This window comes from Homo sapiens, chromosome 2 (genome assembly GCF_000001405.40).
Source record: "Homo sapiens chromosome 2, GRCh38.p14 Primary Assembly".
NCBI lineage: Eukaryota > Metazoa > Chordata > Mammalia > Primates > Hominidae > Homo > Homo sapiens.
Genome location: NC_000002.12, coordinates 208,010,323 through 208,027,795, shown reverse-complemented (window position 1 = coordinate 208,027,795; position 17,473 = coordinate 208,010,323). Strand labels below are relative to the sequence as shown.

Below are 17,473 nucleotides of genomic sequence, written 5' to 3'. Positions count from 1 at the left end.
CATCCTAGAAGATTCTGTTCCATGTGAATTTTGAGAACCACCAATCCAATGGAAGACTGATCTGTGTAGCACAATGTAATGGGTACATTTATAAAGGAACACATGAGATCCTCTAGGAGTGCATAAAAGGAGCAGGTTCCCCTATCAGGCAAGGTTTCCAGAAGAGGTGTGATGTCATCTGCTTTTTTTTTTTTTTTGAGACAGCGTCTCGCTCTTTTGCACAGGCTGGAGTGCACTGGCTCAATATCAGCTCACTGCAACCTGCGTCTCCTGAGTCCAAACGATTCTAGTGCCTCAGCCTCCTAAGTAGCTGGGATTACAGGTCGTGTGCCACCATGCCTGGCTAATTTTCGTTTTAGTAGAGACAGGGTTTCACTATGTTGCCCAGGCTGGTCTCGAACTGCTGGCCTCAATCAATCCACCCGCCTCGACCTCCCAAAGTGCTGGGATTACAGGCGTGCACCGCCATGCTCTGCTAATTTTTGTATTTTTAGTAGAGATGAGGTTTTATCATGTTGGTCAGTCTGGTCTCGAACCGCTGGCCTCCAGCGATCCACCCGCCTTGGCCTCCCTAAGTGCGTGGATTACAGGCACGAGCTACCACACCCGGCCTTTTTTTTTTTTTTTTTTAGAGTGAAAGTTTATTAAAAAGCTTTAGAGTAGTAATGAAGGGAAGGAAAAGAAGAAAAGAACACTTGGAAGAAGACCAAGCAAGTGACTTGAGAGACCAAGCACCTGTTACCTGCTTCTTAAAGAGCAAAGAGAAATTAGCCAGCCTAAGTAAGAGGATGGGCCAGGAGTGAGAACTCTCATCAGAGGGAATCACATGTACAAAGTCCTGAGGCAAAAGAGAATACTGCAAATATTCTCTTTTGGTAATTAAAACAAAACAAAACAAAAAATGTACCTCTGGCCAGGTGAGGTGGCTCACACCTGTAATCCCAGCACTTTGGAAGGCAAGGAAGAAGGATTGCCTGAGGCCAGGAGTTCAGGATCATCCTGGGCAACACAGGGAGACCTTGCCTTTACAAAAAAAAAAAAAAGAGAAAGAAAGAAAAAAGAAGTTAGCCACGTTGTGGTGATGCGTGCCTGTAGTCCTAGCTACTCAGGAGGCTGAGTTGGGGGGATCCCTTGAACCCAGGAGTTCAGGGCTGCAGTGAGCTATGATCGTGCGACTGCACTCTGGCCGGGGCACAGAGTGAGATCCTGTCTCTAGCAAAACAGAAAAAAAAGTACCTCAAATTGCAGGGTTTAAAGAAAGCTTATTTAAACTTTGAATATCAACCAAAGGAAATTTTTTCTTAACTCAAAGCTTAAAGATTTGCTTATTAATCTTCTGGAGGGTGGGAAGGTGGGAAGAGGAATCAGAGTTTTAGATTTCTGTTTCATCCCTGACCCCTTTGACCTTTTTTTTTTTTTATCATTCCTTTGTTCATTCATTTATTCAGATATATATACATTGGGCCTGTGCTAGGTGCCTACTAGATGGTGGTGAGTGAAACTGAAATAGTGCCTGCCCTCAGGGAGTTTATAGGTGAGATGGGTGAGCGTGGGAAAACCAATAAAACTGATAAATAAGTGTGTACTTATAAAGTGAGAAAATGGCTAAGAAGTGTGCTATGATGGAAAACAGACAGGAAACTGCAAGGAAGGTCTGTCCAATCAGACCAGCATATCCCTGCAAAGCGACCACAGTCACTGCAGGTGGGATGTGGGCGGTCTTACCAGGCAGTCCTGCCCGCGTGCACACACACGCACACCCTATTTTGCTGGGAATCCGCAAGTGGGGGTGAAGACCTCACCTCAAAACCACCCCTTTTCAACCTGCGTAGGAAAGGACAGTGAAAACGGATTTTCACTGCAGCCCCAAAACCGGAAATGAGAAGCAATCTCCAGAATAGTCCCACTTTTGGAAAGAACTTATTTGAGTAATTAATTCCCTTAGACAAGGGAGCTGCTAAAAACCAGCCCGATCCTGACATGTTCTAAGTGACATTTTCCAATCGCAAACACCCATTTTGGCGTTGGGTGGAGCAGTGAGGAGACTCCACGACACACGCCATTGCTTTCACAATGTGTACAAGAGGAACTGTATATAAGAAAGCAAAGAAATAAGGAGGCCTGGCGGGTGCGGTCAGGCCTTGCCTAGCTGCCGGGTCCCTCGGGCAGGAAAGACTCGTCCTCGCGGCCTGGAACCTTGTGTGTCCGGCTCTGGCTGCCCGGGCCGCCGGCGGAAGCATTTCAGAGTGGGACCGCGAGAAGCCGCTTGTAAACAGAGCCGGGCCGGGATGGTCAGCGCCCGGGCGGGCTGTCACCGTGAGGCGGGCGGCAGGCTGCGGGAGTCAAGCCCCTCCAGGAGCGGACTGAAGGCCCCGCAGGTGAATGGAGAGTAGCAGCCGGGGCCCAGGTGAGCATCCGTCTGCTTCTGTGCTGCCTGGCCGGCCAGTTTGGGGGATGGGGTGGGGACGACTGCATTGTAAATATCCGAGCAGCTCCCAGGGATAGCAGTGATTTTGCTGTTTCTTGCATGCTCAGGTTTTTATTACGTGCTGGAGATTGTACCACACTGCAATGGCTAATGGGTGAGGGGAGATTACATGATGCATTGTCTGCTTATTTTTGTGAATCAGGTATGTAATAGGAGGAGAAAGTAGTTGAAATAGTAGGTGATCTTGTTGAGTGCGTTATTAGTATCCCTGCCATCCCCGCCTGGGGATTATAAAACCAAACCCCAGCAGAGCTTTTAACCTACATCAGGCTGGGGCTTCCAGAAAACGATTGTTCTTTCTGTCGACTCTGTCCGTTTTTAATGTATAGTAAATGACACCACATGACTGATGACAAGCATGGTTTGGTCTTGTAGGAAAGAATTATTAAGCTAAAAAATCAAGATAAGAAAATCTCACACTCATCCCTTAAACAAAAATAAATTACTACTGAGATATATATTTGGATGACAAATTGAGACTGGTCTGGATGTATACCTTGCAAAGCAAGACAAATTTGAATTTACCAGGTTAAACTGAGATTGAGCCATGCTGTTGTAAACTTATTTAGAAGTTTATTTCTCTCTTCTTTTTTCTTCCTTGGAAGGGACCAGAGAGAAACAGCTGAATTTTTTTCTCTATATTTTAAGTAATCGTAGTGAGTTGTGATTTGTATTTATAAAGTATTTTATTATAAAATACTACATGTAAATTATAATTGGCATACTTAAAATACAAGGCAGTTTTTGACTGACTGACTTCAAGAAAATGCCTTAACAAAAGCTGGGCTATATATCTAGTCTCTAAAAATATCAGTAGACATTTGTAACCTTGGTCACATAGTCTTTTAGACAGGAGATGAATATTAGGTTAAATTGCACCTACAATAGATAGATATACATAGAAGAAATGATACTAATTCCTGATGAGTTTTTCTTTACAATGAATATTTTTACAATGTCATGGTTTATAGCAAAAACTATAAAGCCAGACTACTTCAGTTTGAATTCCTGCTTGGTCACTTCCTAGTTGTGTAATCTTGGGCAGTTTACTTAGCGCTTCTGTTTCCTAATCTGTAGAATGGGAATAATAATAGTATTGACCTCATTAGGGTTTTTATTATTGTTATTTTATTTTATTTTATTTTATTTTATTTTATTTTATTTTGAGACAGGGTCTTACTCTGTCATTCGGGCTGGAGTACAGTGGCGTGATCATGGCTCACTGCAGTCTCGACTTCCTGGACTCAAGCGATCCTTCCACCTCAGCCTCCCTTGTGGCTGGAACCATAGGCACAAGCCACCACGCCTGGCTAATTTTTGTACATTTGGTAGAGACAGGGTTTCGCCATGTTGCCCAGGCTGGTCTTGAACTCCTGAGCTCAAGGCTTAGAACCGTACCTGGCATATAGTAATTGCTATATACATGTTTGTTAATAAATATATAAAATAAAAATATGCCAGTGTTGAAAGTGGAATGGTGATTACCAGGGCCTGGAGGGAGGCAGGCAATGGGGATTTGTTGTTTAATGCTGCGGTCCCCTGGTGGTTTTTGGCACCAGGGACCGGAAGACCATTTTTCCACAGAGCGGGTGGTGTGGGGTCGGGGAGTAGGGGGGTGATAGTTACGGGATGAAACTGTTCCACCTCAGATCATTAGGCATTAGTTAGATTCTCATAAGGAGCGTGCAACCTAGATCCCTCGCACGCACAGTTCACAATAAGGTTTGCGCTCCTATGAGAATCTAATGCTGCTGCCGATCTGACAGGAGGCGGAGCTCAAACAGCAATGCGTGGCTGGTCCATCGCTCACTGTTGTGTGGCCCAGTTCCTAACAGGCCATGGACCCGTACTAGTCTACAGACATGGGGGTTGGGGACTCCTGGTTTAATGGGTATAGAGTTTCAGTTTTGCAAAATGAAAAGAGTTCTGGAGATTGGCTGCACAACAATGTGAATGTACTTAACAATACTGAACTGTACACTTAAAAATAGTTAAGATGGGGCTGGATATGATGGCTCAGGCCTGTAATTCCAGTGCTTTGGGAGGCTGAGGCGGGGGCATTGCTTGAACCCAAGAGTTGGAAGTTAAGTGAGGTATGATTACGCCACGCACACCAGCCTGGGCAACAGAGCAAGACCATGTCATAAAAAAAAAAAAGGTTAATATGGTAAATTTCATATTATATATATTTTACCACAATTTAAAACTTTTAAATACCAGTGTTAGCAAAGTTATGTTTTCAAAATTTTATTAGCATGCTGCAGCCCCATTCATAGTTAGTTGCCTTTGCCATTATGGAAATACAGCTTCTGGCAGTCAACAGTAAGATTCATTTTTTTAGTAGATTTGTGTAATTGAGGTTTAATTATAAAGAACACAAACAAATGATAAGAAACAACACCTAAGACTGTGGCAGGCAAAATTCTAAAAATGTCTCTCTACTAAAATTGCTGTCTGTAATCTGTGAAACCTGTGCATATAATAAGATATCACTTTCTCAATTATGTTATGTGGCACAGTTTAATTTAAAATGGTGAGATTTTCTGGGTGGGTCTAATCTAATCACAGGAGCCCATACAAGTTGGGAGCTTTCTCTGTCTGGGAAATTGGAGAGACTTAAAGTAGGGGAAGGACTCAACATACTGTGTTGCGGCTTCGAAGGTGGAGAGGAACTGTTGAGAAGGAATTTGGGCAGCCTTGAGGAGTGCTGGAGGCCTAGAGTTGCTGAGGGTGGCCCCAGCTAACAACCAGCATAGAAAGAAATGGGGACCTCTGACATAAGCCACAAGGAACTAGATTCTGTCAACAATCCCAATAAGCTTATAACTGGATTCTTTACCTGAGTTTCTATTAATAGATAAGAGCCCAGCCTGGCCACCACCTTGGTTTCAGCCTTGTGTGAGAGACTCTGAGCAGAAAACCCAGCCAAGCCCATCCAGTCTTCTGACCTTCAGAACTGTGAGAAAATGAATAGGTGTTGTTTTAAGCTACTTAAGTTTGTAGAAATTTGTTATGCAACCATAGAAAACTAATACAGAAAGAAAAATTGAAACAATAGCAAAGTATCATTTTTTCCAAATCTCAAATTAACATAAATTTTCAAAAATCCTCCTCAACAGTTAGTGTGCAGTGCAGCAGACACTTGCAAATGCTAGGAGGGATGCACACTTGCTGTAACCTTTCCGAACAGCTCATTGGTGAATGTATGAAAAGCCTCAATGATGCTCCTACCTTTTGACCCAGTTAATTCCACTTCTAGGGTCCATCCAAAGGAATTTATCAGAAATATTTTAAAAGTTAATGTTCAAAGATGCTCAATATAACTTTATTTAGGAAAAAACATATGTAATAACCTAAATGCCCCAAAATGGGAACAAATTATGGTGTCATCAATAGATACAGTGTTATATAGACACTAAAAAGGATTTTTTAATGAAGAAGTTTAGCAGTGTGGAAAGGTGTTACCAATGATTGCTAGGTGGGGAAAAATGCGTATCTATAGTAAGCTCTGAACTATGTTTAAAAAAACAAAATCTACATAAGGGCTGAAAGGGCCACAACGGGGCAGTGCTTTTTTCCAGTGGAGGGTGAATAGGCATTGTTTATTTTGCCTTTTATTCTCTTTCGTATTTTCAAAATGACAAGCAATGAACATGTAGTACTTATTTATAATCACAAAAGTCAATAAACATTATTTTAAAAGCTGTTAAGTCTCTACATTGTGGGGAATACAATGACTATAAAACATTGTACAGTCAAATACTGGAGATAATAAAATCCATAAATAATGTAATTATGTGGCAGAAAGTGATTTTTTAAAGAAAACAAGATATAGAAAACAAATTATAATTGAAAAGATTGAAAATAAAGTTGGAAACTTATTTCTCAGTAGGGTAATAAGTGAAAGCTTCATGGTAGAAGGATCGCTGAATGTCATATAGAAGTAATAGAAAAAGGAGGCACATGGCTGAATGTTCATTAAAAGTATTTGTTTTCTCATAGATTGATGGATTTAGGTTTTGGGCTATGGACCCAGGTTAATTATACTAGTGGAAAACAACTGTGAAGAATATGTAACCATTTACAGAAAAAAATGGTGCCTGATTAGGAAAACCAAGCTGGTTCTAGCCCAGTAACATCTTCATTAAAAAACATCCAAGGCTGATATTTACTGAATATTTATGAGATACTTGACATACTCTATTACAGTTTAATCTTGTATATAGCCTTTGCTTAAGACTTGAAGTCATTCATTTACATATTTAAAAAGTAGGCAGATAGACAGGTGCTAATTTAATTACTAGTTTCAAAAGGCCTGACTTTAATGGGAACTTGGAGAAGGTTAGACTGGGCAGTTTTTTTAGGATTCTTTATCTCTAGTCAGTTTCCAGCAGCATCAAGCTACTGCTGCTGTTACTTTTATTTTCCCATTGTCACCCTATCCTATTTCACCTCACCCTCTCCTCCAACACCCCTAGAAAAGTACAGAGAGTGTCTGTGGCCCCATTGGTTGCTGGCCAAAGGCTGATTTGCTTCAGCAAATGTTAACCCCTTAAAATAAAAAGTCTGGAGGGATATCTAGCAAGGAGTTTTTTTTTCTTCTTGCGTTCTCCTTTCAGAGTACATTTGGCATTTGGTTCATAAGGAACTGAACTACATCCTAGCTTGGAGTTTCTGATGCAAGCCAATTAATTCAGAGAACTCAGTGCTGAGTGAGAGCGTGATAAAAATGACCACCAGCAATAAATTCCATGCATTATGTTTGCTCTGTTTCATTGGCTACTGTGGGATCATACCAGACATTGAAAAACATGCATAATTTGCCTTCCTGCTGACAAGGTAAAAGTTTTATTTGTTCCATAAGTAATTAATCTTGATGACAGTATGAGTTATGAGCAAAAACCAAAGTCAAAATATGGAGGCAATTGCATTAAGATGTCAGGCATGCTGTTTTCATTAACATTTTGTTTGTTTTCGTACACTCATTAATTGTTAATCTGAGTTATGTGGTTCAAATAGAATCCTTCAATTATATGCCACATTTATGACCATGGTAGAGATTTACTTATCCAGTTCTCCTGACTAGTGTAACCAGTTTATAATTCAGTACAAACTAAAGCTCTTCTGTCTCGCATTAGCCAGTTTACCTGTGAATACTTACGTAACTGGGAAATTGTTAAATATCCACTTCACCTTGTGTTCTGTAGGTGTGATTATATAAATGTTGATTTTTCAGTCACAGAACAAAAAACATGTGTTGCAGGTTAGAAACATCAGAAATATAACTAGCAGATTTTTTGCTCCAGGAAATTAGCTGAATGATCTCCTCCTACATGCTCTTGATCCACTTTTACCTGCACTATAACATTTCCAGAACAACTTCTCTTCCACGTTCAGGGATTCATTAATTTGTTAATTCAGCAAGTAAGGATTGAGCACTTGTTTTGTGCCATGGCACAGTACTTGGAGCTAGGAATGAACAAGACAGGCACAGTCCATGCCTTCATGAAGCTTACAGTCTAGTGAGGGAGACAGACAGTAAACAGGCCATTTGAAAATAACTTGCGTGCTCACTTTGGCAGCACATACATTAAAACTGGAACAACACAGAGATTAGCATGGCTTCTGTGCAGGGATGACATGCAAATTTGTGAAGAGCTCTTTCAGATAATGTTAAGATGTATATGGTTTATACAAATGGTAAAAAATTATAAAGTTAAAAAAATAGCTTGAGATGCATAATAATGGAGGAAATCTGGGTGCTATGGGAGCATATAAGAGGCCATTCAAAATGGACCTGGAGGTCAAGAGAGATGTGATTCCTCGTCAAGGACTGGACAGCTGAATTAGACTTAGCCAGGTTGTGTGTGTGGGTGGGAGGTAAGGAGGGGACAGTGTTGATAAAGAAGATGAGGGTGATGGTGGTGGAAAACAGTGTTCCAGGCAGAGGAAACAGGATAGGTGAGAAAGCAAGTGGAAAATTCCAGGTTTGGTTTTGTTTTCAGACAGGGTCTTGTTCTGTTGCCCAGGCTGGAGTGCAGTGGTGTGATCATAGCTCACTGCAGCCTCAAACTCCTGAGCCCAAGCGATCCTCCTACCTCAGCCTACTGCATAGCTAGGACTATAGGTTCACGCCCCCATGCCTGGTTAACTTTAAATTTTTTTTTTTTGTAGAGATGGGGGTCTCACTATGTTGCTCAGGATGGTCTTGAACCCCTAGCCTCCAGCAGTCCTCCCATCTTGACCTCCCAAAGTGCTGGGATTACAGGTGTGAGCCACCACACCTGGTCCCAGTTTCTATAAATCCTTTCTTTTTTTTTTTTGTGAGATGCAGTGGCACAATCACAGCTCAAAGTGCTGGGATTACAGGCATCAGCTACTGCTCCTGGCCTCTATAAATTCTTTATATGTAGATATAGAGTGGGGTTGAGGTGGGAGTGGGTGTGGGGTGAGGGTAGGGGTAGAGAGAGAGATTAAAGAGATAAGGCCAAGAAGGTAAGTGGCCATAAACTCTTTCAGGTAATGTTAAGATGTGTGTAGTTTATCCAAATGGCAATAGGTTTTAATTTTGGAAAGAACATTTTGGTTGCAGTGTGGTGAATGGATTAGAGGAGGGTAAGACTGAAAGGAAGAAGACTGGATGGTGGTGATTGCATGAAGGCAACGGAGACAGAGAAATGGATAGATGTGGCCAATGCTGTAGATGAGAATTCATATGACTGGCTAATTTGGAGTGATTGCAGGTGAGGGAGCCAGAAGGATCAAGAATGATGTTTATTTTTTGGGGACAGAGGATATGTCCTTTACTCTATGGTGAATGTTGGGAGGAGGGGCAGGTTTGAGGCAAGATGAGTTCTCTGTCGCATATGCAGATATAGAGCTTGAGAGTAGTATGTTTCTTTTTTTTTTTTTCTTTTCTTTTCTTTTTTTTTTTTTGAGACAGAGTCTTGCTCTGTTGCCAGGTCAGAGTTCAGTGGCATGATCTTGGCTCACTGCAACTTCCGCCTCCCAGGTTCAAACAATTCTCCTGCCTCAGCCTCTGGAGTAGCTGGGACTACAGGCACATGCCACTACTCCCAGCTAATTTTTGTATTTTTGGTAGAGATGGGGTTTCACCATGTTGGCCAGGATTGTCTCGATCTCTTGACCTTGTGATCCACCCGCCTTGGCCTCCCAAAGTGCTGGGATTACAGGCGTGAACCACTGCGCCCAGCCGGAGAGTAATATGTTTCTTGTCTGCCACGTGGATTGCAGCTAAAGCCACAGGATGGAGAAGATCACTTGGGGAGGGCAGAAGAGAAACTAGATAAGAGGGTTATGGGCAAAACAGGAATACCCACATTTACGATATGGGCATAGGAAGGGGAACCCATAGAGGGTAGTGGGAGGAGCCTCCAGAGTTGAAGGAGAAATACCAGGAGAGAGCATCTGTGAATTCATGAGAGCAGTGGAAAGAGTGGGTGTTCAGTAGGTCAAATACTGCTGTGTGGTTAGGTCAGATGCTGAGTGAAAAGTCTTTAGGGTTTAGCAAAAAGAAAATCACTGGTGACCTTTTCCTGTGAAGTTTCAGCTGGGGCAGAATCAGACTGCTTCTTGAGGGGAGAATGAATGGGCAATGAGAAATGGAGTCAGAAAGCATAAAGAACAAGTTTCTTCAAGAAACTTACAAGAAAAAAGAGAGGAAGGGGAAAGTATCCTAGCTGTGGGGGAACTTGGGTGGCAAAGATGGATTTTATTCATTTTTTACTTTTTTGAGAAGAGATATTCCGTTTGAATTTTTATGCAACACTTGCGCCACTGAATCCCTCCTTTCCAAGACCACCAGAAAAGCTGATGCACAGCAAACTCTTACTGCCTTGAAAATGCTGGAGGAACCTTGAGTAGATTAAAACCTTATTTCAAAGCTTCCTAAACTCTGTCGCCACTCCCTCCACCAGTTCGTTGGTTTATAATGGAGATCAAAGAGAATGTGGTGACCTTTTTGTTGGTATCAGACACCAGTGGGCATCCTGTACACTGCTTTGGAGTTCATAAAACACTACATTATGTTATTTGATTTGCACTCCAAAAAAGGTGAGACAGTTATCCTTATTTTCCTCACATCACAGACAATTACAGTTGGCCCTCTACATCTGTGGGATCCACATCAGCAGATTCAACCAACCATGGATCAAAAATATTAGGAAAAAAAAATTCCACAGAGTTCCAAAAGGCAAAACTTGAGTTTGCTAAATGCTGAATACTACATTGACTCCACCAAATGAGAGGATGTGTAGGCACTGTAATAGATATTGTAAGTAACCTAGAGATGACTTACAGGAGGATGTGCGTAGGTTATATGCAAATATTGCATAATTTTATATGAGGGACTTGAGCATCTGTGGATTTTAGTATCTGAGGGGATCCTGGAACCAGTCCCCCATGGATACGGAGTAACTGAAATTCAGATTCAAGTTGCTTGTCAAAAATCACACTTCTCATAATGATACATAGAAAATTGAGACCCGGATTGGCTAATTCCAAATATTGTGGTTCAAAAGTGGTTGCCTCACGCTGAAAGGTTAGCTATGGTCTCTGTATTTTCATGGTAGTATGGTAATATGAAACCAGGGTGTGTGTGTGTGTGTGTGTGTGTGTATTTTTTTTTTTTTTTTTTTTGAGACAAAGTCTCACTCTGTCACCCAGGTTGGAGTACAGTGGCTCGGTCTCGGCTCACTGCAATCTCTGCCTCCCAAGGCTCCAGCAGTTCTCCCACCTCAGCCTCCTGAGTAGCTGGGACCACAGCCATGCGCCACCATGACTGGCTAGTGTTTTGTATTTTGGGTAGAGACAGGGTTTCACCCTGTTCCCCAGGCTGATCTCAAACTCCTGAGCTCAGGAGATCCACCTGCCACCATCTCCCCCCAAAGTGCTGGGATTATAGGTGTGAACCACCACACCTAGCCAGCATATCATCTTTTAGTAGATTATAGAAACAAGACTGAAGGTTGTGGCTCAATTTTGTTATTTTGTTTGAACCCTACATACATTGATATTTGCCCGTCCCCCCAACAAAAGTCAAGTTAGTTTTAGAAGGAGGCAGTTTATTTTATTTATTTATGTATTTATTTATTTGAGATGGAGTCTCTCTCTGTCGCCCAGGCTGGAGTGCAATGGTGCAATCTCGGCTCACTGCAACCTCTGCCTCCTGGTTTCAAGAGATTCTCCTGCCTCAGCCTCCCGAGTAGCTGCGATTACAGGCACCCACCACCACAACCAGCTAATTTTTGTATTTTTAATAGAGACAGGGTTTCTCCATTTTGGCCAGGCTGGTCTCGAACTCCTCACCTCAGGTGATCCACCTGCCTCGGCCTCCCAAAGTGCTGGGATTACGGGCATGAGCCACCGTGCCTGGCCAGCGATTTATTTCAATATGCCTTAATCATCAAAATATGTTTGAATTATCGATTGTAACATCTAATTTGAAATATTTCTTTTAATTCTTTTGACAGAAACATTTGTTTGCAGGTTGTTTTAAGTAAACATTTTTACAAGTGTTTCTATTTATTGGCTAAATAAAAAATGATGTTGCAGGGAAACACTAGTAAAAGGCTTGGGCAATTAGGACTATGTAAACATTTGCAGAAGCACTTGTTTCACCTAAATGAAGTCACAGTTATTATACTCTTGCAAACATTCCAAGTAATGTGTCCAAGGTCACTAAGACAATTGAGGTTAGCTATTTAGTTAGAGAACAACTTTTTACTGTGTTTGTTCAGGAACCTGTCTTCTACCATTCCCGTAGAGAACTTATAATAATAACACAGAAGTATTATAGAGGTGATTTTTTTTTGTAAATTAACTATAAACTACTTCCCTGGGTGTAAATATGATATTTAGCAATTAACTCTCTGGGTCATGGGATTAACAAACAGATTTTGAAATAAATAATAAAGTTGCTGGTGTTTGACACTAAAATTTGAAGCACCATGTTCATGTACTAAAATTTTAGCCATATTATCCCAGGGTAATTAATTTGCTTTGAATTGTCTTATGGGGCTGTGTGTGTATCTTAGAGTCTTGTTTCTACTCACTGACCATATTTCCCTAGATAAGTAACTTCATCTTTTTAAATCTCAGTTTCCTTGTCTGTAAAGTAGTAATAATAGCAGCTCTCTAATAGGGTGGTTGTGAGGATTTAACAACATAATGCAGTAAAAGGCTTAACATACGTTAAGTAGTAAGTACTTTAGTAAGTATGCAATAAATATTAGCTATAACTTTTTAATCTTGGTCTTAGATTAGAACTTATAAGAACTATATTTTGTTTTTAAACATTTTATCAAATATATCATTCTACCTTTAAAATGTGTCCATCCACATTGAAGGTGTCCTCTGCAGGACATGTTTAAAGAGATTAGCATAGCCGTAGCAGTGCCTGATTCAACTATTTGAGTCCCAGCTATCATATGCCTATCATCCTAATGTCAGAGCAAAACAATCCGAGAAGTATGGATCAGTCAGAGCCCCAGAATTCAACTCCAGAATGTTCAGGCATTGTTTGATAAAAATCTATGCCATGCTAATGGTAATAGTCCATAATAAAAGAAATTCAGAAACTGTTTTAATGTAAACCCAGATTAGGGGGATGAAAACATAGTTCTTACTACTCTTTTTTGTTTTTTGAGATGGAGTCTGACTCTGTGGCCCAGGCCAGAGTGCAGTGGCGCAATCTTAGCCCACTGCAACCTCTGCCTCCCAAGTTCAAGTGATTCTCCTGCCTCAGCCTCCCGAGTAGCTAGGATTACAGGCGCCTGCCACCACGGCCAGCTAACTTTTGTATTTTTAGTAGAGACGGGGTTTCACCATGTTGGCCAGGCTGGTCCCAAACTCCTGACCTCAGGTGATCTGCCCGCCTCGGCCTCCAAAGTGCTGGGATTACAGGCATGAGCCACTGCACACGGCCAGTTCCTACTATTCTTATCCTTCATACCTTATAAGCTTTTCTTCTGTCCTGTGTGATGGGCAGAGATTCTTCTGTCCTTCAATTTGTGTATAGTTAAATGACAAAGACTCATTCTGTTATTTTGCCTTATCTTGTGCTTATCTTTGAGGGTCAGAGACAGTGTTTTGTCTGCCTTTGCCAGCCTTGCTTGTTTCCTGACTAAATTGGTTAAGAGGCTGATTGGTAGCCAAGGTTGTTGTCACAGATTAAGTCCAAAAGGGAGGGAGAGGTCATAGATGCAGCCCATCACTGCTGAGTATGTCTGCCCTTTCAAACAAGAGGTGAGTCACCTTTTTGCTTAGATCTTATCACTGGTCTCATACTCTCGGGATGCCAGTTAACAAAGACCTAGGCTCACTTTTTAGCAGGTTCAAGTTCAGCAGAGACAGAAAATAAATCAACTAATTACTTCTCTCATACATTTACTCTGAATGCCCATAGAAACTGGTTTGTGAGAGTGTGCTAAGCCATAAGCCGGTTGTTGTTTTGAAGGTTAAAGTTTTAAGTATTCTCCCTTCTGCTGGTGAGTTGCAATGACCAAAAGAGTTAAAGTCAACAGGAAGTGAGGGAATTATTAATTTCCCATGACATCCTCACCACCCAGCAAAGGCCTTCTGTTGGACAGGAATGTGTCTGTGGGTCAGAAAGACTTGAACAGCTTGTGAAGAAGGCCTTTGCATTCTTGCCTTCCATGTGTGGTTGTTAGTTCACATAGTGCTCACTCTCTGGTGGAACCTTTGAGGCTGTTATTGTAGGCTGACAGCTTCATGCAAGAAGCAGCATGATTTCTTTTTTTTTTTTTCTTTTTGAGATGGAGTCTTGCTCTGTTGCCCAGGCGGGAGTGCAGTGGTGTGATCTCGGCTCACCACAACCTCCGCCTCCTGGGTTTAAGCAATTCTCCTGCCTCAGCCTCCTCAGTAACTGGGACTACAGGCACGCGCCACCATGCCTGGCTAATTTTTATATTTTTAGTAGAGATGGGGTTTCGCTATGTTGGCCAGGCTGATCTCAAACTCCTGACCTCGTGATCTGCCTGCCTCGACCTCCCAAAGTGCTGGGATTATAGGCATGAGCCACCATGCCTGGCCCACAGCATGATTGCTGGAGCAGGAATGATTGGTTTTGTTGTATGTTTTTGTTTCCTTTGTTTTTGATTTCTTTCGACTGAAGTAATCTCTGTATACCTATCATTGTCATTTAATTGTGTTCTGTTACTTAAAATTCTTTATTGTCCCTTAATTAGTAATGATTCCTTATTTATGCTTGTATAACACCTTTGTATACTTCTGTTGAAGTGCTTTTTATATTTGGTTTTGTGTCTTACTTTCCACTAGCTATTTAGCTCTTCAAGAGCAGGAGCTGTGTTTTGTGTCTAATATCTCACATAGTGTTTGGGTACTTGGTCCGTCCTCTATAAATGCTTGTTGAGGATAAATGGTTATGTGATTAGAAATCAGCTAACTTCTAATAGAAGTAGTAATTGTTTTAGAGTTTGTAAAGAACTTTCACATACTTTGTCCACATTTGTGCTTCTCTGCTTTCTCAGGTAGATGGGAGCAGGCATTGGCAGGACTTCCATTTGCAGATAAGAAGGGCACAGAGGCCCTGAGTCAGCCTGACTTGCTGGATGTCAGTTAGCTCAGAAGGCAGTGTGGGGACATGACCCTTTCCTGGTGTCATAAATTTATGTTCTTCCCATTGCCACACTTCTCTCACACTGAACAAACTCAATACTTAGTCTGAGTGGCTGAGGGGTTGGATTCAGCCTACTCACTCCTTGTTTATGGTCCTTCTACTAACATCAGGGCCCCTGTATGATTTAAGGTGATTTAAAAGGTAATTGAACTTGGGTGGCCCAAAGTACTCAGTAATTAGACAAGGATTTGAGGAACTTCGTTTTCTTTTCTTTGGGAACTACAATTGACAATAAATGAATCATGGGTTCTCTTTCATCATCTTTAAAATAGTCCCATTACTTTACTCACCTCTCTTTTTTGAGGTTACTACAAGTATTTATTAAGAAGTTTATCAGGCAGGCGGATCATGAGCTCAGGAGATGGAAACCATCCTGGCTAACACGGTGAAACCCCGTCTCTACTAAAAAATACAAAAAAATTAGCCGGGCGTGGTGGCGGGCACCTGTAGTCCCAGCTACTCGGGAGGCTGAGGCAGGAGAATGGTGTGAACCCGGGAGGCAGAGTTTGCAGTGAGCTGAGATCGTGCCACTGGACTCCAGCCTGGGCGACAGAGCGAGACTCCGTCTCAAAAACAATAAATAAATAAAATAAAGAAGTTTATCAGAGTTCGAGACCAGCCTGGCCAATATGATGAAACCCCATCTCTACTAAAAATACAAAAGATTAGCCAGGCCTGGTGGCGGACACCTGTAATCCCAGTTACTCAGGAGGCTGAGCAGGAGAGTCACTTGAACCTAGGAGGCAGAGGTTGCCGTGAGCCGAGATCACACCATTGCACTCTAGCCTGGGCAACAAGAGTGAAGCTCCGTCTCAAAAAAAAAAAAAAAAAAAAAAAAAAAAAGTTTATCAGAGCACTTAAAAATTTTTTTTATTCCATAGGTTTGTGGGGAACAGGAGGTATTTAGTTACTAAGTTCTTTAGTGGTGACTTGTGAGATTTTGGTGCAACCATCCCCCAGGCAGTATACACTGAACCCGATTTGTAGTCTTTTATTCCTCACCCCCTCCCCACCCTGTCCCCCTAAGTCCCCAAAGTCTATTTTCTCATTCTTATGCCTTTGAATCCTCATAGCTTAGCTCCCATTTGTGAGTGAGAACATACGATGTTTGGTTTTTCATTCCTGAGTTACTTCACTTAGAATAGTAGTCTCCAATCCCATCCAGGTTGCTGTAAATGCCATTAATTGATTCCTTTTTATGGCTGAGTAGTAGTGCATCATATATATCTATATGATGTATAGATATATATATCTCACAGTTTCTTTCTATTCGTTGATTGATGAGCATTTGGGTTGGTTCCACATTTTCGCAGCTGCAAATTGTGCTACGATAAACATGCATGTGCAAGTGTCTTTTTCGTATAATGACTTCTTTTCCTTTGGGTAGATACCTAGTAGTGGGATTGCTGGGTCAAATGGTAGTTCTACTTTTAGTTCTTAAAGGAATCGCCACACTATTTTCCATGGTGGCTGTACTATCTTACATTCCCACCAGCAGTGTAGAAGTGTTCCCTTTTCACCACATCCACGCCAACATCTATTTTGTTTTTTTTTTTTTTTTTTTGATTATGGCCATTCTTGCAGGAGTAAGGTGGTATCACATTGTGGTTTTGGTTTGCATTTCCCTGATCATTAGTGATGTTGAGCATTTTTTCATATATGTATTGGCCATTTGTTATCAAGCACTTTAAACTTTATTCTAAACCATGCATGTGAAAAATGATTATTTTCTGTAAAAACCAAGTGATTTTTTCCTGAGATTAACTCAGTTTTAGTTTTGTGAGATAATTAGATAAACACAGTCCTGTATTGAATTTAGAAACACAGCCTCTATTACTCAGGCTCAAGTAGAAGATTCTAAATAGTTATATAAACTGATGACATCTTTAAGTCTACTTCCCCAGCCCTTTCTGGGTATCTTGCATATTTGGTCTCACTGTACTTCCTTGTTACATTCACTGTTGCAGTCAGCCACACTAGCTGGCTTGGCCCTGATGGAACCTACTTGCACCTCACCTGTGACTCCTGTTGCAGTTGGAGGCTGATAAAGTTTTTATCATGGAAGTTTTTGCCTTCTTCCTCTCAGTCCCAAGATAAAGCTAATTCAAGTGGTTCTTTTGTTTGTTTTCTAGTCAGTGTTCTCTGCCATGGAGGCAAAGGGAGATGGAAAACATCAAGTCTGCATTTTTAGACATTTCGTAACTGAAGTTTGTGTCTTCCTGCTTTGTTTCTAAGAGCAAGACATATTGGATCTCTGGTGGTTTTATGAAAATGGGCCATTTTGGTTTTCCAATTTCACATAAAGG

At 41.4% G+C, this 17,473-nt stretch overlaps 1 protein-coding gene and 1 pseudogene across 7 annotated transcripts in view; both read left to right on the top strand.

Annotated features, from left to right (window-relative positions):
- Window positions 1-2,268: 2,268 nt before the first annotated feature.
- The window catches only part of PLEKHM3 (pleckstrin homology domain containing M3), a 204,240-nt gene continuing 189,035 nt past the window's right edge, over window positions 2,269-17,473 (top strand). For 5 of the 7 annotated variants that reach the window (XM_017004073.2, XM_005246545.4, NM_001080475.3 and 2 more), the window contains exon 1: window positions 2,269-2,407. The gene's annotated coding sequence lies outside the window, so the exon portion shown is untranslated. Of the gene's footprint in view, window positions 2,408-7,107; window positions 7,328-17,473 lie in introns of all 7 variants that reach the window. The other 2 variants (XM_011511160.3, XM_047444266.1) reach the window with 1 other exon arrangement.
- Window positions 8,055-8,158, top strand: RNU6-360P (RNA, U6 small nuclear 360, pseudogene; annotated as a pseudogene).